Genomic DNA, 21211 nt, shown 5'->3' with positions numbered 1-21211 from the left:
CTCTCCTCTGTTATCTCTGCCAAGCTTCTGGCAAAGAAAGACATTTGAATCTTTCTATTATAACACTTTCTTAAAAGAATTTTTTGTTTTGAAAGAGAGCACTTTTTGGGAATTCTTTTAGGAAGGGCTCAAAGTTGATTCCAATTTGGGTTGTGGTTTCTAAGTGACTTGTGTATAAACCAGTTAAACAGAGACTTGCCGCTTGATGATGGAATGTTTTGAGTAGAGAATGGATCTGGGGTTAACATCCTTCCTCCAACTCCTTCATGCTGGGTGTGGAGAGGAAGAACGAGGACTATCACAAAGAATTTATATAAACAAAATACTTTATTATTGAGAGAGTAAAGGCCCAATTACAAAATTTTTATACTTAAGATCTGTTTATTACCATGCCAATGGTTTATAAGGACTGTAGTTTCCATAACTGTTAGGCTGAACCCCATGAAACTCCTTCTTTGTAGATAAAAGCCAGCCTAATATTGGCAATTTCACGTGGTTCAACCTCACATACAATGAGCCACTGCCTAGGATTCTTTTGGCAGCAAGATGTTCCCAGTCACATGTCTGTTTATATTATAAACAGATGTCCAAGTGATAAATACATCCCTCTTGAGAAAAACATCCTGTGCTTATGTATACTGGGAATGGTCTTTTGTGGGTATTGAGGCAGCGCAGCTCTGGCTTTGCTCTTCCCAGCTTGCCCGGCCACCCGATTCCTCAGTTTCATCACAGGAGGATTCTTTACAGATGTCAGCCACCCGTCCAAGGCCACGCAGCTAGTAAACAGACAAGCCTGTCGGACTTTGAAACCAACTTGACCGGGTCATTTATAAAGGCCGGGAATACACATGACTCAGGTGCTCTTTTGAAACGACTACAAAAGTCTCCATTTTGATCAAAACGTTTTCTCCGAATGAATGGCTCCGATGCTTTCTCTTTCCCATCTTAAGTCCCCGCTCTGTGCCTCAGAATAGTCTGTGTCCAAGAAAATAAGAATCACGTCATCTTGCTGTGGACACTGAGCAAAAAGGAGCAGCATGCTATTAAGATGGTTGAGACACACGAGTGAACAAAGATGGGACAAACTGTGCTTCGTTCAAGAGGTTTCATCAAGACCCCTACCGCCCCCCGTCCTTCAGCTCTGTACAGTAACTTTAACTTTACATAGAGCTGAGATAAAAATAAAGCTTTCTTACAAATTACATTTTTTTTCCAGTGAATTACTTTTGCAGTAAAAATAGCTGCTACATAAATCCCTCCTGATCTCTGAAAAGGAGTTGCATATTTCCAAAAATAATATTCTTATTTTAATCACACAGAAGAACGTGGAGCACAGGAAGGAAATGGCTGGGTGGTCAGAGAGAGGTGAGCTGTCGGAGAAACACAGTTAAACTAAAAAATAAAATCCATTTTGTGTATAAACTGACTTAAACGCATGCAAAGAAGTGGAAAACATATGCCATTTGTCAAGAAAAATACTGCTTTATAGCTTTTACTTTACAATTAAAGGAGAAAGCAGAGGCCAGATATAAGCCCAGATAATAACATTTAAGTTTCTCATAAAAACTCCCAAATGTACAAAGTCCTTGCCAGACAACCAAGGCAAGAAAACCCCCCAAAAACAAACAAACAAACAAACAAAAAAACACAAAAAGCAGGGATTACCCCCCACAGGCCTTATCCCTGTAAGTCTATTAAATGTAAATAATACATACTTTACAACTTCTCTTAGTCGGCCCTTGGCAGATTAAATCTTTGCAAAATTCCATATGTGCTATTGAAAAATGAAATAAAACCTCAGATGTCTGAATTCTTATTTCAAATACAGTTATATAATTATTTTAAATTACAATATACAATTTCTGTTAAATACAACTGTTAAGGGATTCTGAGAACAATTATAAGATTATAATAATATATACAAACTAACTTCTGAAATGACATGGTTGTTTCCTTCCCACCCTCCTACCCTCTCAAAGAGTTTTTGCATTTGCTGTTCCTGGTTGCAAAAGGCAAAAGAAAATCTAAAAATAGTCTGTGTGTGTCCACGACATGCTCGCTCCTTTGAGAATCTCAAACAGCCAGAACCATCCCGTCCCACGGACTGCCAGGCGCCAGGACGGCTTCCTGGTGCCTCTTTCTCGACCATTTTCACTTAAAAGCACTGTGAGTAGAATTAGCTGTGCCGTTGCTGCCACAAGGGAGGCAGCCTGGTCAAGAGGCGTGGTTTGGGATGCAATAAGGCCACTGCTTCTTGGCCACTTTCCTGGACATTTTCAATCCTGCCTTTCCTGGGTCCTCGGAGCAGCTGGTCAGGATGGGCTTCCCACTCAGTCCACGAGCCTGGGGCCGGCTCAGGGTGGTCCCGGCGACCTCAGTCCTCCGTGTCGGGCTGGACGCCCAGGATGGCGTGCAGTTCCTCGGGCGTGAACCCCAGCAAGTTCTGGAGGTCGCACACGAAGCGGTACACGTAGCGCTTCCCCGACGTCTTGTGGATGATGTTCTTGTCGTAATAGTAGCGTAAGCCCCGGCTCAGCTTCTCGTAGTTCATCTTGGGCTTATTTTTCCTCTTTCCCCACCGGCGGGCCACCTTTGGTGAACATGGATGGAAAAGAGTTAAACTCAATTTGTCAATGAAGAAAAAGTGAATGACATTCCTCCCTGATTATGATTCTGAGGCATGTTCACTCTAGAGAGAACTTGACACCTACACAAGGTCCGCAGGAGGACCTTTTGAGTACCTCTGAGTACCTTTGAGTACCTATGGTAGGGGCACTGTGTCCCCAAGGGGCAGAACCACTGGGGAATGAGGTCCCTGCTCCCTGGCCCCAGCTCAGTGAAACCTCCTGGGAGCCAAGGGTTCAGAGCCAGGAGGGTCCTGAGACCAGGGAAAGGTGGTGTCACCCACCCTCCAGGCTGGATATTCCAACTACTGAAGTTAACAGGTGCCGAGTGGGATTCTGAGCTGTGTGATATACTCATTCCTCAATGCTTGTCTCCCAAGGGAACTGGAGGCGGGGTGGGAATGGTGACAGATTACGCTCCCCAGTGCCAGAGACCAAGGGCTTCTCTCTAACGCTTTTCTGGCGGGGTTGGTATCCCACCTGCCCTTGGCCTTCTCCTTTAGACAGGGCTCCTGGTTCTAACTCTGCAGGGCTGGGGTCAACACTGCTGGGCTCAGCTAAGGAGTGGACAGAAGGCTGGCTCGGGGCCACATGAGGCTTGTTCCCCCGATGGACAAGGGCAGCCTTCCTAAGGCATTTTCAGATGGTCAGCAGAGAACCTCAGTTTGCAGCTTGGGCCTCTTGATCAGACAACTGATCAAGACAGTGAAATCTGTGCAACGCCCTTGTATGAAGCATACCCAGAAAACACTGTACACGTTTATCAACAAAGCAATGACTCCACTTCCATTTTCCCAACAGCCAAGGATGCCTCACGTGGAAAGATTCTCAGCAGTACTGGTGAACCCTTTTTTGTGCCCAAAGAACTGAGTTTTTGAATGCAAGCAGGAAATCAGGTTTTCAAGCCCAGAGATTTCCCAGGGCTCTGGCCATACCTCATCGGGGTCGGCGAGCTTAAACTCCCATCCGTCTCCAGTCCAGCTGATGAATGACTGGCAGGATTTGTCTGATAGCAGCTCCAGGAGAAACTGCCACAGCTGAATAGGTCCACTTCCTGCGGGGAGAGGGAGGGAGACGGATCATACCCTTTCACAGATGTAAAATACAGCAAGTCTTTAACCATCCTAATTGTACATGCTGATTTAGGAATGCAGACCCAACTCTCTGAATGGGGTTCCGATGTTACACTCAGGGTGGCACTCAAGGTGTTGGTGACAGTACTAAGTGCTTTAACGGGATGGGGCGGGGCACCAAATGTGAGTTCCTGCTCCACACTGCCTACTCCTAGAAAATAAGGTCACTAGGCGAGACACTCTTCCCCTTGATTGCTAGGTTTGTTCTTTCTGGAAGAAAGTTTAGGGCCACCAACTCTTGGCATTAAAATTCCCCATCTGGTTTAATTGTTCCTTATGTAAAAACCTTCAAGGTTTTTTTCTAGAAACACCCAGTGGGGCAGAGATGGGGGTGGCTGAGGGGGTGTTTCATCACAGAATGAGGCGTGTCATACGTGGGATCCCATGCCACCTTCCTGCCAAATGACCATGTGTAAATTGCTTAATGTGAGCCCGGTTTACTCAATAGCCACGCGGGGTCACACCCGTTGCCTCACAGCCTCTGTCTGGTGAAGCATGCTTTGCCAAGAGCTTCTCGTCCACCTGTCCTCGATTGACATTTAGAACTACCACCTTGCAAAGCAGGTGTCAGTGTGGTTCTGTTCTAAAGAGGAGGGATAAGATGCGGCTCAGAGGCCAGGTGCCTTGTCCTGGATCACACGCCCATCACAGCAAACAGGAGAAGAGCCTAGATCTTCCGACCCTAAGCCCAACCTCTTTCTACCAAATAGCTCTTCCTCAGAAACGCAATGGCCGTTATCAATAAAGCTTTGCTGTAAAGCACGGGACAGGCATTCTAGAACCAGAGCTGTGTGAGCACCGATAGCTGTCTGCCTGTGAGCCAATTTCCCCATCTGTAAAATGGCCTCATACCACCCCCATGCCAGGCTGTCCTACAGACTGTATGCCTACTTAACTACAGAGTTGGCAGTCAATAAACAGAAACTTATGTTACTATTAAAATGAACCACACTAACGTTATGGCTGTTTATTCTTCTCAGGCCCTAAACTCCCAATAATGAAACCGATAATGGCTTTCACACACTCTTTCCGTGTATTTTAATACGTTTACGTGGCTGATTGTTCTTAGATGACAGAAAAAGAATGAATGCCTCAGTATCCTTATTTTAAACTTATCAGATTTTTTTAAGTTAGGTAATTTCAATCCACAGTGGCTCCATATGGTTAAAAAAACAAAAACAAAAACGCATTTAAGGATACACGAAGCAGTGAAAACAAAGCCCCAGTATTTTCGCTAAAGTACTGGAAATACCTGTTTCTAAAAACAGCTTTATATTTGTCCACTGCCTAGAATAGCTCTCACCCAAACCTCAAAAATAAGAGCAGATAGATTTTAGAAGCAAGAAAAGGTAAACAGTGCCCATATTATTTGAGACTGGCTCTGCTGCCCCTCCCTAAGCCAGTTTACATTCTTTGAGATTCTTGGAGTGGGTGAGTCAGGGCTGAAGACTGCACAGGCCATGTCCCCTGCTCCAACTATTCCTCAGAACGTCCCAGGTGGAGGGAGTGGCCTGTCAATTTTCACTCATTCCATGGAGCTCTGTGTACATGAAAATTCCTCCAAGTGTGGCTTTTGTCGAATTCAGAGATACAGCAAGCCACGCATAAAACATGGAGTGTAGAGCACTGGTGTACCTAGCTTAGAAACACCCTCGGTGAATGTGGTACTGTGGCTCGAAAGGAAGCAAGGGACAGGACCCAGGAGACTGGGCGGCCAGGCTCTCGGAGTTCCACACACACCTGTGAAGCCGGCCAGCACAGCTGCAGGTATAACTGGTTTGCCTTGCTCCACTGGGTCACTCCTCTCTTGGATGTAATCCTTGAAAGACATGGTTGGCTTATTGAGGCAGAGAGACTGGCTGCAGTCATCTTCGAAGCTCTCGAAGGAAGGAACCCGTTGCACATCCAGCAAGGACGACTGGCTGTTCCAGGACTGGAGGAGGGAGTCTGAGCTCTCGAAGCTGTCCGCACCGTTCTCAGGGGAGTCGTGGTCTTTGGGAGTCCCTGGCAAAGACAACCAAACACATACTTTGATTCCTCCAGGACACAGTTGGTCTTGGGCACGACCATAGCATCACCAACCACTACCAGTGCAATCATGCACCTGCTGGTGTAGAACCACTCAGACTTCTCAAAATGCTCTCTACTCAGGTGCTTATTCCTTAGGGTAACTATACTACACAAATCCTATCTTCCATCAACAGTAGAATGAATAAAATTCTTATAATGGAATACTATACAGCGATGAAAAAGAACACATGGCTGCTACATCCAACAACATGCATGAATCCCAGACATGATGAGTAAAAGACAAACACAAAAGAAAACATGCCTTATGATTCCATCTATGTAAAGTTCAAGAAAATCAAAACCTAATCCGTAATGATAAAAGTCAGAATCGTTCCCTTCTGTCGGGGGGACATTATTGATGGGAAGGGGTACGAAGGAATCTTCCAGGCTACTGGAAACTTCTCTATCTCCATCTGGATGGTTATTACATGGGTATACATACATACACAAATCCAACCAGCCACATGACCTGAGACTTGTGCACTGTATTTATGTTACATCTCCATAAGAAGAAATGTCACATTCCTGCATCGCCTCCATAAATATCCCAAAGTGTGGAGAAATCTGGCTGTAAGAGCAGGGACTGTTTTGTTTACTCAATGCCTGCAGTACCTGGGCCAGTGCCTGAAACATATTAGGGGTATGCTTGTTGGAAATCCACTTAGAACATGGGCTTTGACCCCCTTCTCTAATGGCTGAATCCAGGAAGTATTTATTAAGAGGTTCATTATGGCTCTGGGGTTCTCAGAATCAAAGCAACAGCCTTGTTGAAAGATGCTTCCAATCTTACCAGAATTGTTGGTGAGCAAATTCAAGTTGCTGCCTGGGAAGTCCTGACTGACAGAGCAGTAGGTGACGCTGACGGAGCTGAGCCGAGACTTGGGGAACATCTGAAACTCCTGCTCAGAGCTGAGTACGCTGGGTGTGGAGGCCGGACACATGCTGTCCAGGAGGCCGCCTTTGGGGTAATTCTGTGTCTGCATTCCATAGGGCGCCTGCTCTGTGCCAAAACCTGGAACAGAACAATCGGACGGCAGAGCTCTTAAAGTCAGTGTTACCCCAGTAACTAACCCCTACGAGCAAATGACAGGTGAGCACTCCGCACACTCCAGCCCTCTGCAGAACCTCAGTGGAGACCCGGGCTTTGGTGGGGGTCTGTCACCAGGCCTTCTTCTCAAACCATTCAGCTTCTCAACCAGCAGCCCTCTGCCAAAATGACTGCAGCCTCTGCAGGCAGGACTCAATGTTCCTATTTCTACAACCCTAGTGCTTTCATGGGACCTTCAGGAAGACAGGGCTCACTGGCTCTTTTAGCTTCCGAGGAGAGTAAGGCTCAGACAGACCAAGTGACGTGTCATGTACTGTGTGATTCATAAGGGCAGAACCAGGCCATGAACCCTGTGTGCTGAGGCACAGCCCACTCTGCTTTCTGCTCCTTCATCACACCGCTCCTGTCTCTGTTCATTGCAGAATAATTTATTTTCTGGAGAGGGAAGGAAGCTCTCTGACTCTGATTCAGGTTCAGGCAGGCACAGGGTGTCCCACTGTCATGTTCAGAAAGACCTCCTGAGCAGGAAGCCCCCAGTGGGGCAGAGAGGTGGGCTTCACCGGGTCTGAATGGTGGAGCTGGGGCCAGAGAGAAAACACTGGGCCGGACCAACACCACCCAAGCCTGCTGTTCCGAGGACCCCTCCCTCGCTGGCCTGGCCAGACCCTGTGCCCTCCCCAGTATCAGCAACCAGAAGAAAGGACCCAGATTCCATGACAGCTCTTTAAGCTCCCAAGTTCAGAGCCAGTTTACAAATTGCTTTTCACGCACTCTGTGCCTGCCGCCTCTTGTTTGCTACACTAAACCAACATTACTGGTGACTGCGGTAATCAGCTCACTTCGTTCTGCTCCTTGCTCTAAGAATTGCCTGGACTAGCACTAACAGTGCTGACCTATGGAAGATCGTGTGAGCCACTTAAGCAACTGCGAAAGTTCTAGTGGCCATATTAAAAAAGCAAAAAGAAACAGGTGAAGTTAATTTTCTTATTTTACTTGGCCTCATATAGCAATTATCATTTCAATATGTAATCAATACATTAAAAATTATCAGGGAGACATTTTATATTCTCTGTTTCATACTAAGACTTCCAAATCTGGTGTGCATGACTATACTCTTCCTACACATCTCGATGTGGACCAGTCACATTTCAATGGCTTATAGCTCAACACCCACGTGTGGCCACCATAAGAGACACACAGGTCTAGGTGGCCCCTTAGGAGCCTACAGTAGAGAGATTCCAAGTCTACTGGGAAGACTGAAGACAAAGTTCTTAAGGGCAGAATCAATCGGACTGACCTAATGTATTGCTGTTAATCCAATGAGGAACGGAGGTGAGGTGTGAATTTTCTTCATATTGATCTTCTGTCTTTTCTTGGTTTTCTGAAAAGCAGACACAGGAGACGTAAGATGGCAGATGTAGGTGAAAACTACACAGAACAAATTGACTTTCTGAATTCCTGTGAGATGATAATTTTAGAATGATGAGATGCACGGAGTGCTTCACATTTAATCTCATGGTGCTCCACGTCCCTGCCTGTCTTTTTCAAAAAACGAGAGAAAGCAACCCATTTTTCCAATTACTAAAATAAATTTTCCAAAATGAATGATGTCATTGGCAACACTAAATTTTCTATCGCAAAAGGTCCAGATGGTGTATTGAATTCATTCATGCATTCAAGAAACAGTTAAGTATTTATGAAATGCCATCTGTACCAGAGGCTGCATACAGGAAATTAATAAAATGGATGGTGTCTGCCCCCGTGAAGCTTACAGTTCCACTGCTTCCAAACCTGCACGCTTCCCCAGGGTGTGGGAAGTCTCCAGGGCTGTGGGAGTCTGGGATGGGGAACACATGTGCCCAAGAACTTTGAAAGGGAAAAGGTTTGTGCACTGTGTATGCATACTTACTACGAATATATTACAAAGTGCACGTCCACCCGGAAACCCAAATACACACAAACTCACAGGCCCGAGGAATGGTAAAACAGGCCCAATTTGCCAATAAACAGATCACCAGAAACTTGGTAGAAAAGCCCTGTCCAAGTTCAGAAGAAATGAGGGTCTTTAAAAATGAGTTTCCCTGGCCCTCAGACGCCGTAACTAAAAAAAGTTAGCTGTTGAATCCTAGGTGTTTTCGAGATTCTGAGTCTACAGTTGATGCTGAAATTCAGTGTGTTTAAAATCAGTCAGGTGAGGACTAGTTCCCTGAATTCTATAAACATGCTTATTTTCTTATATTTTTTTAACCTAAATAATCCCTACTGTATTTTATTTCTTTCCCTCCCTCCCTCCCTCCCTCCCTCCCCTCCCTCCCTCCCTCCCTCCCTCCCCTCCCTCCCTCCCTCTTTCTTTCCTTCCTTCCTTCCCTCCCTCCCTCCTTCCTTCCTTCCTTCCTTCCTTCCTTCCTTCCTTCCTTCCTTCCTTCCTTCCTTCCTTCCTTCCTTCCTTCCTTTCAACAGAGTCTCACTCCCACAGGCTGGAGTGCAGTGGTGTGATCTCGACTCACTGCAACCTCTGCCTCCCGGGCTCAAGGGATTCTCCTGCCTCAGGCTTCCGAGTATCTGGGATTACAGGCATGTGCCACTATGCCCAGCTAATATTTTTATTTTTTGTATTTTTAGTAGAGACAGGGTTTCACCATATTGGCTAGGCTGGTCTTGAACTCCTAACCTCAAGTAATCTGCCCGCCTCCGCCTCCCAAAGTGCTGGGATTACAGGTGTGAGCCACCGCACCTGGCCCTCTTTTCTTTTTTAACTCAACATGTTTTAAACATTGGTCTCCCTGCTATTTTAAGTTTTGAATCAAGACTTTCTCTGTATTTGGTGAGATTTCTACTGATCAATGGCCAGTTTCTGTACAATATGATAGCGTGTAAATATATATCAATTTCTCACTTGTTTAAAAACAGACCCCGCCCCCTCAACAATCCTCAACATCCAAAATACATTCCATTTGGATGTAGGAAAATTTACAGTAGAATTCACAGGGTTTATGTGAGTAAAGGCTCCCCCCTTTCATTAAGGCTGCCATATCTCTTAGCTCTGTAAGGTGAGCTCAGAAGACGTGGGAATTCTTGCTGTCCTACATATCTGAGTCAACATGGACTCCCGTGATGAATACAGCCAGCAATAGCAAACAATTTAGTGACTAAGGCTACTACCTTGTGGCTATACTTGATGCTATACACACACACACACACACACACACACACTCACATAAAGTGGGATAAAAATCTATAATCACTGCCATATATCTGACTCACTTGAGTGGCATTTTGAGGCAAGGTACTCTATGTCATTTCAAGTGGCAACCCTAAGGTTGAAGAACACCCACGTGACTTTCCCAATCAGTCTTCCCGGCCACAGCTCATCCTGGACAAGGAGAAGTAAGACGTTCAGCTGGTACCTTTGATCATTTGCTCCAGATGTTCCCAGAGAATGTCACCCACAAAGTCAGGTGCCAGCTCCAGAAAGCGTTCCTTGCCAAGGTTACACAGCATCTGGCCATTCATGCCGAACCTCTGCAGATTCACGTTCACCAGACTGAACTCATTGGTGGCCCAGAGAAGCCACTGGCATACCTGTTGCTCACTCCACAGCCAGGGGTCTACCAGGAGAGAAGAAAAAATGGAACACATGAGGTAAAAACAGTGGAAAGGTAGTGAGACCACTGTCATCCCTAATTTATGCACCAAGTACCGACATACACCAGAACCCACGAATGAGCAAGATACCATGATGACACGTCACCATTCTGACACGACCCAGGCACATTTCAAGACACCAGTAATGCGTCCTTCTACTACATATTTAATGAGTTCTGGATCAAGTCTTGGGTTGATTGGGGTGAAACAGAAACTGGCTCAGGTTAACGACATCCATGCTACTCTTTGCAGAATACCCCAAGCAAAAGCTTAATAAACAAGTCAAGATCAAACAACTGCACTGAAGTTGGTTCTTCTCACCCAGTGCAGGCTCAGGAAAGCAGTACTTACTCTTTGGAATGCCCAGGCGCCGCTGTTCCTTTTTGAAGCCACTGAAGGTAGCTTTTAAGGCTTGACTCATCACAGCCTTGCTGCACGGGGTTAACAAAGGCAATTCACAGTTGGCGGAGTCTGGAAGGAAACCCCCCATGGGGACATTAGGACTTCAAGTTGGTGATATCAGGTGGAGATTTAGGAGAGACATCTTAGTTTTTGGAAAAGAACAATTTTGATCTCAAACCTTGGCATGATTCCTTAAAACAGTGTAACTATTAACAAAAAACTTTTCTGACTATAATTGAGAAAATATATATCTCAGAACTATACTTATTAAAAAAATCTAAAATAAAACTCAGATTTGATTCTATTTTGCAAAGCGTCACAAAGCAGTTGTGCGTAGGGAAAACTGCTAAGTCTATTTTAAAATTGTAGGCAATGAAAACAGTTGCATGGTTTCTGGTCAAAAGGCTGAAGGGACTGTATCATTTGGAAGTCACTTCCATTAAACTAGGCGTAGAGCTGAGAAGTGAGTGTGATATGAATGTGCCGCACTTAGCACGGTAATGGAACCACACCTTCCATTTTTATTGAAAAACAATCTTCTCCAGACACCCTCAGCAATTTCAAGAATGATAAATGGCTGCCATGCAGGGTTATGCTTACGCCAGTGTATGCGTTTTAATTAATTTTCTGGCCTGTATTCTCAGCACCTACTTCACATGACACAGTCATCTCTGGCATGTTTCCAACTAATAGCTCTGTCACAGTAATTGTATGAACATTATCTGACGTGCTATTCCTTTAAGAAGAATAAACAATGACACGAAGAACTACAGAAAGAACTACCGATGGGTAAGGATTACAAAGAACAATTTGTTGCCCCAAAACTCAGGGCAGGGGAGATGATTTAACTAATGATGCAAACCCAAATTACAAGTTTGGGTGTGTTTTAATGTCTACTCTTCTGTCTGTTTTCCAGGGCAGAGCAGGGAGATGAGGACCTGCTTGCCAATGTTGAAAACATCCAGGAGGGGCAGCTCAGGGGTTCCCCTGCAGTTTCCTAACAGCGGCTCACTGGGGGGCGTCTGGCACTCAAGACATCAGAATCCACATCAGAATCACCAAGTTGATACAAATGAAAAACTGCCTTCTCCCAGGTCCAGAACTTCTGGCTATTCATATCAAAGATTCCAGATACCAACATTTCTCACTTAGGAACTGTCATCTCTTTATTAACTGAACTACTTAGGAAAATCATGCACAATTTGTCAAGTCTGAGGAACCAATTACCATGAGAAATGGAATCCAAGCCTGTTGGCACTTCTTGCAGTGTTTGCTCTTCATTTAGAGAAGGAAAAACAGCAAACAGGGACCCATCAAAGGTGTCAAAGGCTGGCTGGCGCTGCAAAAACAGATGGAAAAAAAATGGAAATACAATATTTAAACTGATTGAATTACCTGTTGTAAAAGTGGTCTGTGGGCAATCCTACCAATAGTCCCTGATTAAACTGGCAATTTTGAAGCAAACATGGAATCAACCAGTCAGTCCTTAAAACAGACTCGTAAAATGGTCAAAGTGACTGAAATGATTGTATTTTACTGTGGATTATTATTATTATTATTTTGAGACAGGTCTTACTCTGTCACACAGGCCAGAGTGCAGTGGTGCAATCTTGGCTCACTGCAACCTCCCCCTCCTGGGTTCAAGCGATTCTCCTGCCTCAGCCTCCCGAGTAGCTGGGACTACAGGCGCCCACCACCACGCCTGGATAATTTTTGCATTTTTAGTACAGACAGGGTTTCACCATGTTGGCCAGGCTGGTCTCAAACTCCTGACCTCGTGTAATCCACCCGCCTTGGCCTCCCAAAGTGCTGGGATTACAGGCGTGAGCCACGGTGCCCGGCCACTGTGGATTTATTTAAGTAACCTCACAGAGTCGGAGTGACTGGGAATTTGTTTTAGTGGCCTAATCCACTTAAGTTAATATATTAAATACACAAATCTGAAAATAACAGAATCTTACAATGGTGTCGAGAGGAGCCTCAGAGACCCCTTTACCAAACACCTGACCCTCCTGTTACATTGAGAAAAATTCAACTAGGCTGTGTGTGTAAGAAAAATGACCCTTGACAAGGCCGTCTGAGCACAATGCAGTTAAAAGGCAAATGACCCGATAAACACTGAAAAATCAAACAATGAAATACACTACTTTATCTTTGGAAGCATTTATTTTGAAATGTTTGCCATGAAACAATTTAACTGAAACTAGAGATGCTTTTCCACATCAATTCCAATGGTTTGGAAAATAGTAATACATGACAAAATTCCTTAACGTTTCATTTTATAACAAGTAAAGTGTCTTAAAAATGAACCCCCTCCCCGCCCCCAGGCCAGGCGGGGTGGCTTATGCCTGTAACCCCAGTGCTTTATGAGGTTGAGGCCAGAGGATCACTTGAGCCCAGGAGTTCAAGTCTGCGGTGAACTACGATCAAGCCACTGTACTCCCGCCTGGGCAACAGAGAAGGACCCTGTTGCTTAAAACCAAAAACGAAAAAACAAATAAAACAAAACAAAAAAAACCCAAATCACCTACTAAGGGGAAAGATTTCCAAAGGAAATAGGTTTAAAGTTAAACTAAACTATCTGCAGAAAAGAAGAGACACACAGAAAGATAAAACCTTACACTAACTCGATTTCTGAGCATCTTACATAACATTTATGAAAGAAATACCTTTTAATGTAAGACTCATTTGAAAGTAACCGATAATATCTGGATTCATCATCGCCTAAATTGTTGAGGAACACGTGAAGAAAGACTATATTTTTCCAACATAAGCTGGAAATCCCATGTTATGTGTAATACAATGACCCATCTGTTGAGTCATCAATAAGAAAATGTGTAACACATTTACAAATAAAATCGGTTACCCGCTTTCTTTTTAGAAATGCAGAACAATGAATGACGCATTACAAAAGAGGGCAGGCAGAGGCTGGAGCCCAGCCCAAAAAAATCCAAGTCAATGATGACCAACTGCCTGAGATCTACGAGGAAAACCGATCAATCAGGCAAGTGCAAATTACTCATCTGGATTTACAAACTACTTTAGAGCAGAGCTAATTTTGGTGAAACCTCCAATAAACTTTTAAAGTTCCCACAAGCATTGCCCAGGTGACTAAGAAATGCCTTTCCTAACCGTAAATTCTTTTTTTTTTTTTTTAAAGCCAGGAAGCCAAAAGACAATACAAATCTGTGCTTCCTATTTCAACACATCAATTTCAGCAACGACTGCTTCTTTTCAGAAACCGCATAAGCATCGTCAAATTATTTGAATTAATAGAAGGATTTTTCTAAGGGGTGTGGTTTCAACTTAATACCATGATTTCTTGTACCACTTCTGCCATGCTTAAAATGTCCGGCCAAATCAAACAAGCAGACTCACTAGGCTGAAGTTTGATGACCTTTAGAATACTGCAGAAAGGACTGTGCTGAGTTTTGCCTCTTTGGGTCATATCAGACAAATAACCTCAATAATGATATACAAAGGAAAATGTAATATGCCAGAGACGTACATCATCATTATGCAAGACGCTAAACTTTGAGGAGGCCAATTTTAAAATCATGCTTCTGAAACATGTTTACTACATAATACTGAAAACAATCAAATCTTGCTGTCATATTTGGAGAAGACAAGTGGGAGATTACCAGTTTGTGCTACTAAAGAATGTTCCCAAAAGGAATGATGATAGAAGCTACATAAAATGTTTATGCAGCAGAGAGGGCGCTTTCATTTTTCATCTGGTTTTTGGTTTAACATAAGTAGGCCTGCTTGTTCTCTGAGCCAGTAACAGGCTACCTACAATTCCACGGGCGCTGCCCTTTCTGATAGGAGCTGTAGCGGTTGGGTCTGTCTGCCTCTTCTCTCTCATTTCAGTTCTTAAACAGCTTCCCATCAACCAAGGAAACTCCTGGGTAGACAGAAAAGGCAGTAGAGACAGCCTCTCCAGCTGTTTTATTGGGAGTTATAGGATTTTCACCTGGAAGGAGCCTCAGAAAACAAGCTATAAAGGCCTTTGGTTTCATATCGTGGAGGAGAAGAACAACACACATCAAGATACCCATTCTGCAGACCAGAAAACTGAGGACCAGAGCAAGTAAGCAAATAGTCTATAGTCACATGGCCAATAAATTAAGAAGCTAGGGCTACAACCAGTTTTCTGGGACCCAGGCCTTTTTTTTCTTTCCTCCTAGAGATCGAGTTTTCCAATTAAAAAAAAAAATTAAGACTTGCCCACTCACCTTGAGTGTCCCTCTGTAACTGTTAGCCACAGGGGCTACCTGGTCCATATTCTTGATTCCGAAATCATTCATCTTAAAAAAGAAAAAAAAAAAGTCAAAGAGGCAAAAGATTAAGTACACTAAACTCATCATTGGTGGCATCAAGACTTGATCCTGGCTGAGTTCTACAGCTAACAGGTAATTCAAAAGTGAATGCAGGGAATTCTTGTTTAAATGGCTGTCCTCCCAAAGGTCTCAAGAGGAAAGCATTTCTCAGTATCACAATGGGATATGCTGTTTCAGTGATTGAATAATAATGCTGATTCCTCACTGAATTCCACTTAGATGTCACAGAAAAAGTCACTTGCTGGCTGGCTGGTCAGAGCCTCCTTGCTGGGTTAGCAGGGCAAGAGGGCCTGGGTCAGGCTTTTCATTCACATTTCCATGGCCAGCTTAGGTGAGTGCTTGGGTGGGTACAGTGGGGCAGTGGGCCGCCTCCTGTCTGCTCTGGACACAATCAGCTTAACCTGAGAGCTTCAGGACAGCTGCAGGGGTCATTTCTAGAGACAGGAAAGGAGTCCAGGAAGCCCCCTCTCTTCCCTTCCACTCTCCAGGCTGTAAGAAAGCACACACCCAGGGAAGGGATCAAAGGGAGAACTGAAGACCAAACCCCCTTACATGGTCCCAGATCTTCCTGCTTTGAATACAGAGCTCAAAATATTTCTGCTTTGTGTGTTGCTTGGCTGTGCACTTCTTCAAGAGGAACTGATTCCAAGCACGGATCTGCCTTACTTCCTCTGACTGAGTCTTAATCTTCTACTAGGCCTGGGCTAAGCAATATGGTACCCACTTGCCATGTGTGGCTACAGAGCTCTCAACCAGTGGCTAGTACAAATCCACACATACACACTAGCTCTCAAAGACTTAGTGGAAAAAAGAAAAAAGCTCAATAATTTTTATACATACATAATATTTCGAATATATTAGGTTAATTTGAAATACACTGAAATCAATTTCACCGGCTTTATTGTTTTTAACATGGCTATTACAATGAGGCTTGTAATTGGACAATGACATAATAGGCTGAAAATTTATTTGGAGCTCTAAAATGTAATTGTTCAGCCAGGTAAGTTACATATCAGTAAGAAAGATACTTAGATAATAGAGTAACTAAAACTCATTTTCAGAGACCTTGGGTTAGCACCGATGAATGGCCTTCACCTCTAGGGTGATTCCTTGCCCTCCCAGGTTCATGGCTATGGAACTGAAGGCTGGTGGCAAAGCTCTAAGCCTAGCTCCATGGCCTCCACTGGGTGCTCTTACCTGTTTACAACTGAGAACTTTTTAAGTAATTCAGACAACATTCAACTGATAGAACTTACTGGATGTGGCGAAATAACAAAGGCTCACCGAACTATTTAATTTGCATTTATTTTCTTGTTTTCTCTTTATGATCAACATTATGGCTAAACCAGACCTTCCAAGAACCCTGCTACCCAACACACACCCAACACACACACACACACACACACACACATACACACACACCCCTCTTGGCTAAAAGGCAGCAGGTGAGGCCAGAGGCATCAGAAAATTCTGTTAAAACACTCGGAGTGCAGGTAATGATCATGGTAGCCAACAAAGGCTGGTCAGCACTGGCAATAAATAATAGTCCTATGAGAGGACAGAGAGGGGCAGCAGTCTTGGGTCCAAAGTGGCCACATTCACTCAGAATCTCCACTTGGTGGATTATGCCACTTATATTCACTCAACAATCAATAGTCTCTCCTATTGATGGCTGCCATTGCCAGAATGCCTAGTTACTAAGAGCTAAGCCCCGTGCTGGGGGACCATCCACTCCTACCTAATTGAATCTTCCTGCATCCCTGAGAGGCAGACGTCATACAGTGAAGCAACGGAGGCCCAGCAACATGGACAATCTGCCCAGGATCCACATAGCTACCAGAGGGGCCACCGCAGGGCAAAGTGGAGATCAAACCCCAGTTGAGTATGGTCCTAAATCCTGAGTCCTCCACACAGTCCTCTGTGCCGGGAGAACATGAATGATGAGGAATGGACCCTTCCCACCCATCCTGATATTATCAGATCAGGCCCTTCTCACTACTCCTTCCAATGTGAAATGCTCCTTCCTCTAGAGCTTTATGTCATTTCTCTGCATGAAATAAGTCCTGGTAGCTGCTGATTAAAGAAATAAACAAGCCTCAAACAGAAGGCCAAAATCATAGACATCTTGGGTGTTGCCAGTTATCCATCCAGAGCCGGATGGGTCAGCTCTTTTTCTTCCTTAGGCTTGCAGACTGCTTGCTGACTTGATTCTGTTTTTCAGCTTCTCTGAGATGGACAGAGAATGAATGTGGAAGGCAGTGGAAAAGCTCTCCCCAGCTTTTGTGTACAAATACCAGGAGAAAAGGCAGCCTACCACTCCCACATAAAGAGCTGTAATTACTAGCTACAGAATAGAATTCTTTTGTTGTCCAGCTTTTAATGAGTTTTGTAAAAACCATGCAGAATTAAAGTGCTCTACTAAATGGTTTCAGGCAGACACACAACTAATCAAATTTAAGCTTGCTTATTTTACTCAACAGGGCTTGTTAGATGGCAGACAAGCCAAGTTTTTCCACATAAATCAATTTCAAGTTTGGTGTTGCTGATGGATCGCTGCTTTTAAACCAAAAAAAAAAAAAAAAAAGGATAAAGAGCAGAAATGTAACAGCTGAGAATGGTTACATTTAAAAACAAGGAGAATTTGCCTGACAACAGTACCCTTATTGGAACAAGTAATCACTTATGTAAGATTATTTAGATAAATTTGAAAACAAACAAAAAAAAGAAACAACACAACCTTGTAACACACATTTGAAGGTAGTTTGCTTTTTTCGCTTTGAAAGCGATCAGTTTAGAGAGATGAATGACTAATCCCAGAAATGAGTATCTGAGCATTTCCCTGCGGATGGTCGGTGCTAACATTTACTGTGCTGCGCTACTACTCAGAATTTTAATAAAGCTTAACGTGGAGATTTATCTCTCTGATTGGTGGTGGTGTGGGCAGGCAGATAACGCACAGGCGCTTCCATTGTATGGAACAAATATAATCTCTTACTGGCGAATTAAAATAAATTACTCCTGTCTCCAAAGGGGACTGCTCATTTCTTTACTTTCTAAATAACTAGCGCGTCAACTACTGTTTTAGGCTACCCTGAAATTGTGTACAGGCTAACATAAAAGGTCTCCTGCCGTAAAAAATAAAATAGGATAACACACACGCAACCCAAACACACACAAGCAAACACTCAGTTACCTCTTCATTCAAATGCTGTAGGAACGAGAAAATAAAGGCAGCCCAGCGCAACCAGATCTCATTTCCGACAGGTTCCCCACGCTCTCCTCGCACGACCGAGGGGTCCCCAGCCCGGGCCCTGGACGCGGCGAGCAGGTGACCATGGCACCCCGCGCCCCGCAGGTTCCCGCGGTGCCGCAGCCTTCAGGTGTCTTGGGCGCCCCAGATCCTCCGGGCCCGGCGCCGCTCCAGGAAGTCACCCTCAAAGCCGGGGCGCCAGGCCACCTCGGACACGCTCTCCTGTGCCCCCACTCCCGTTCGCGAAATCATGTTCGCCGGGACATCCACTGGGCAGGACCCCCTACCAGGCCTGCGTTTCCTTTTAAAAACAAAAGCGAGCGAAACAAGCCAGCGCGCCCTGGCCGCGCCCGCCGCTAGGCGACCCCGAAGACAGCGGCCCTAGCACGCAGGAACCCCCCGGCCGACCCCGCCAGCCCCGGAGGCCACTCCATAACCGGAAAACGAGCCGGCGCGGAACTCAGACGCGCGCCCCTAGAGTCCTCGCAGCAGCCGCCACCCCCACCTGCACCCCCGGCAGCGCCCCGAGATCTGCGTGTCAGTGCCCCCCGCGACCCCCGCCCAGGCCCCGGGTGACCCTCCATGGGACTGGAGCCGCGCGCCGGGCGCTCTCTGCGGGCCCAGCTCTTACCCTGCCGCTGCGGGCAGGGCCGGCGCTTGGTCGGGACGGTGGCTGCTCGGCGCCCGCGGCTGCTCGGTGCGCGCCGGGCGAGGGCGAGGGCGCCGGCCAGAGACGATCAGGGAGGCCGGACGCTGGCCGGGCGGCTCCGGGAGCTCTGAGCTGGAGCGACACCGCACTCGTCAGTCTCTGGAGGAAGTAACCGGGCCGTCCCCCACGCGGCGCGCTCTTCAGGAGCGGGAGGAGGAGGGAGGAGGGAGGAGGAAGGAGGGACGGCCGAGTGGAGGGGAGGGGAGGAAACGAGGGAGGAGAGAAGAGAGAGGGGAGGGAAGGGGAGGAGAGAGAAGAGGAGGGGAAGGGAGGTAGGCAGGATGGGGAGAAGCGGGAGGAGAGGGAAGGGGGCAGCAGGAGGGTTGGGGGAGCGGAGGGAGAGGAGAGGGAACGCACGAGGGGAGAGAAGAGGAGGGCGGAGGCGGCGAGGGAGCGCGGGGCGGGGCTGACACCTTCCGGCCCAACCTTCCCTCCGCCTCCTGCTGTCACTCGGCTGGGTCCCTCGCCGGCTGGCCCTGAGGCCCCGGGAGCAGGGCCTCGGCCCCACGTGCGCGCGAGTGTGCGCCCTGGGAGCCGGGCGGAGACTTTCCGTGGAGCGCTCGGCGTCCTCTCTGGGGCCAAGGCCCTAACGCCAAACCTGCCTTTGGAATTCCGCAGCGACGGAGCAGTGGTGCTGGTGGCACCGAAGGGCAGCCGGGCTTGGGTAATAAGGCCCTGAAATTGAGCCGACCCCATTCTTGAACCTCTGAATGGGCTTAGGACTAATGATCATTCTATCACAAAAAGGCTCCAAATGAGGCGCTTCCTGTAGAAACCGGGCCCTGGCTGTGTCCCCGAGTCGTGGTGCTGATCGCGCTGCTCCCGGGAAGCCCCGATCCCGCAGGCTCCGCGGGAGTGGCGCCCTCTGGAGCTGAGCGGTGCCCAGATAGCGACCCGCCTTGGCCGCGCTTCAATCTGGGCTGGGCACTCCACGCACATCATCGTCACTCTCGGAGGACTTGCGGCTCCCACTTTACACAGGTGGGAACTGAACCTTAGGATGAATAACCTGCCACGTCAGATTGATGAGAAATTCAAGGTGGAAACCTGAGTTTATCTGACTCCGAAACCCTGGTCAAAACCACCCCCTACACTGTGGTTTCCGTTTTTATCAGAAGGTGCTTGAGTCCATGGCTGTTTGGACTCAGGTCACATGCTCAATATTTTGCAGGAAAGTTTAGATTCCTGAAGTTGTGGATGAAATAGGAAACCCCAGCTTAGGCGAGGCCACGGGGCTGAAAGCTGCTCACATCTCAAGAACTGCGGCACCACCGGGAAGGGAGAGGAATGGCCCAGCTTCTCTGTGACTCAGGGTTCTAGGTTTCCATGGTGACTCTAGGTCTAGAGTTATCCGGATAATTGAGATATCGGTGCACCTTAATGTTTCTGGGTCCCCGAAGGTCTCCGGGTATCACCGTGGCATGAGTCACAGTCAGAATCTATACGGCTGAAACAATCACGTATAGGGGAAGTGATTATTTCTTGGAGACTGAATTGATTCTGATGGCTTCTCAGTGTATATTCAGGCCCAGATTAGAGAACACAGATAGGTCAAGAAAGAGTTCCATAAATGGAATACAGATCCATAGTAAGTTACCATGGAGACATGAGTATGTTACTATTTTTTTAAAAAACCGTAGCAGAAAATACTGACTCATCTGGGCTGCAGTTTCAGCTAATATAGGGTCTTTCTCCCTCAGGCTACTTGCACAGCCCTGAGAAGCTGGGTATAGACAGCTGCTCCCCAAAGCTCAGCTACTTCCCGAAGCTCACTTGCCCCAAGCAGACTGCCTTGTCCCACCATGCCTGCCCTCGTGTTCATGGGTGCTGAGTGCCAGGTGCTCCAGGGCTCCCTGAGTCGCTGATGGGCTCCCTGAGTGGAGCCATATTTCCTCTTTGCAGGGCTGGCACAGGCTGGGGGCTAGGAGGTGGTGCTTTGCTCATGCTGGGCTGTTTCCAACATATATGAGCAGAAAGATATCAAAAGAGG

The 21211-nt window shown here is 46.3% G+C and overlaps 1 protein-coding gene across 4 annotated transcripts, besides 15 other annotated features; it reads right to left on the bottom strand.

Annotated features, from left to right (window-relative positions):
* Window positions 1-308: 308 nt before the first annotated feature.
* Window positions 309-20081, bottom strand: ETS2 (ETS proto-oncogene 2, transcription factor). 4 transcript variants are annotated; one of them, NM_001256295.2, is made up of 11 exons: window positions 19648-20081; window positions 19144-19293; window positions 15158-15229; window positions 12150-12261; window positions 10872-10991; window positions 10283-10483; window positions 8173-8256; window positions 6618-6839; window positions 5498-5761; window positions 3560-3678; window positions 309-2590 (listed from the first exon to the last, which is right to left on the bottom strand). In NM_001256295.2, exons 1-11 carry the CDS (start codon window positions 19915-19917, stop codon window positions 2375-2377), a joined length of 1830 nt encoding a protein of 609 aa, NP_001243224.1. In that variant the 5' UTR covers window positions 19918-20081; the 3' UTR covers window positions 309-2374. The 4 variants fall into 4 exon arrangements, with proteins under 4 accessions (NP_001243224.1, XP_005260992.1, NP_005230.1 ...); XM_005260935.2 differs by lacking the exon at window positions 19648-20081 and having other exon boundaries at window positions 18456-19335; NM_005239.6 differs by lacking the exon at window positions 19648-20081 and having other exon boundaries at window positions 19144-19335.
* Window positions 2326-2863: an enhancer, noted in NCBI's record as "H3K4me1 hESC enhancer chr21:40194325-40194862 (GRCh37/hg19 assembly coordinates)". NCBI's record gives its function as "activates a minimal SCP1, AML or CMV promoter by ChIP-STARR-seq in naive H9 embryonic stem cells {active_cell/tissue: H9 hESC(naive)}" and the evidence as "EXISTENCE:reporter gene assay evidence [ECO:0000049][PMID:30033119]".
* Window positions 10038-11237: an enhancer, noted in NCBI's record as "CDK7 strongly-dependent group 2 enhancer chr21:40185951-40187150 (GRCh37/hg19 assembly coordinates)". NCBI's record gives its function as "activates an origin of replication core promoter dependent on BRD2, BRD4, P300/CBP, MED14 and CDK7 cofactors, with strong dependence on CDK7, by STARR-seq in HCT116 cells {active_cell/tissue: HCT116}" and the evidence as "EXISTENCE:reporter gene assay evidence [ECO:0000049][PMID:35650434]".
* Window positions 10038-11420: a biological region, named in NCBI's record as "CDK7 strongly-dependent group 2 enhancer GRCh37_chr21:40185951-40187150".
* Window positions 10634-11420: an enhancer, noted in NCBI's record as "OCT4-NANOG-H3K27ac-H3K4me1 hESC enhancer chr21:40185768-40186554 (GRCh37/hg19 assembly coordinates)". NCBI's record gives its function as "activates a minimal SCP1, AML or CMV promoter by ChIP-STARR-seq in naive H9 embryonic stem cells {active_cell/tissue: H9 hESC(naive)}" and the evidence as "EXISTENCE:reporter gene assay evidence [ECO:0000049][PMID:30033119]".
* Window positions 13152-14351: an enhancer, noted in NCBI's record as "P300/CBP strongly-dependent group 1 enhancer chr21:40182837-40184036 (GRCh37/hg19 assembly coordinates)". NCBI's record gives its function as "activates an origin of replication core promoter dependent on BRD2, BRD4, P300/CBP, MED14 and CDK7 cofactors, with strong dependence on P300/CBP, by STARR-seq in HCT116 cells {active_cell/tissue: HCT116}" and the evidence as "EXISTENCE:reporter gene assay evidence [ECO:0000049][PMID:35650434]".
* Window positions 18613-18712: a silencer, noted in NCBI's record as "silent region_13316". NCBI's record gives its function as "represses an Ori minimal core promoter by ATAC-STARR-seq in GM12878 lymphoblastoid cells {active_cell/tissue: GM12878}" and the evidence as "EXISTENCE:reporter gene assay evidence [ECO:0000049][PMID:35858748]".
* Window positions 18733-18832: a silencer, noted in NCBI's record as "silent region_13315". NCBI's record gives its function as "represses an Ori minimal core promoter by ATAC-STARR-seq in GM12878 lymphoblastoid cells {active_cell/tissue: GM12878}" and the evidence as "EXISTENCE:reporter gene assay evidence [ECO:0000049][PMID:35858748]".
* Window positions 18943-19232: a silencer, noted in NCBI's record as "silent region_13314". NCBI's record gives its function as "represses an Ori minimal core promoter by ATAC-STARR-seq in GM12878 lymphoblastoid cells {active_cell/tissue: GM12878}" and the evidence as "EXISTENCE:reporter gene assay evidence [ECO:0000049][PMID:35858748]".
* Window positions 19423-19492: a silencer, noted in NCBI's record as "silent region_13313". NCBI's record gives its function as "represses an Ori minimal core promoter by ATAC-STARR-seq in GM12878 lymphoblastoid cells {active_cell/tissue: GM12878}" and the evidence as "EXISTENCE:reporter gene assay evidence [ECO:0000049][PMID:35858748]".
* Window positions 19513-19842: a silencer, noted in NCBI's record as "silent region_13312". NCBI's record gives its function as "represses an Ori minimal core promoter by ATAC-STARR-seq in GM12878 lymphoblastoid cells {active_cell/tissue: GM12878}" and the evidence as "EXISTENCE:reporter gene assay evidence [ECO:0000049][PMID:35858748]".
* Window positions 19953-20112: an enhancer, noted in NCBI's record as "active region_18462". NCBI's record gives its function as "activates an Ori minimal core promoter by ATAC-STARR-seq in GM12878 lymphoblastoid cells {active_cell/tissue: GM12878}" and the evidence as "EXISTENCE:reporter gene assay evidence [ECO:0000049][PMID:35858748]".
* Window positions 19953-20536: a biological region, named in NCBI's record as "H3K4me1 hESC enhancer GRCh37_chr21:40176652-40177152".
* Window positions 20036-20536: an enhancer, noted in NCBI's record as "H3K4me1 hESC enhancer chr21:40176652-40177152 (GRCh37/hg19 assembly coordinates)". NCBI's record gives its function as "activates a minimal SCP1, AML or CMV promoter by ChIP-STARR-seq in naive H9 embryonic stem cells {active_cell/tissue: H9 hESC(naive)}" and the evidence as "EXISTENCE:reporter gene assay evidence [ECO:0000049][PMID:30033119]".
* Window positions 20123-20182: an enhancer, noted in NCBI's record as "active region_18461". NCBI's record gives its function as "activates an Ori minimal core promoter by ATAC-STARR-seq in GM12878 lymphoblastoid cells {active_cell/tissue: GM12878}" and the evidence as "EXISTENCE:reporter gene assay evidence [ECO:0000049][PMID:35858748]".
* Window positions 20363-20502: an enhancer, noted in NCBI's record as "active region_18460". NCBI's record gives its function as "activates an Ori minimal core promoter by ATAC-STARR-seq in GM12878 lymphoblastoid cells {active_cell/tissue: GM12878}" and the evidence as "EXISTENCE:reporter gene assay evidence [ECO:0000049][PMID:35858748]".

The sequence above is a fragment of the Homo sapiens genome, chromosome 21 (genome assembly GCF_000001405.40).
Source record: "Homo sapiens chromosome 21, GRCh38.p14 Primary Assembly".
NCBI lineage: Eukaryota > Metazoa > Chordata > Mammalia > Primates > Hominidae > Homo > Homo sapiens.
Note: the sequence above shows the minus strand (reverse complement) of the source record. Positions and strands in the feature narration are given on the sequence as shown.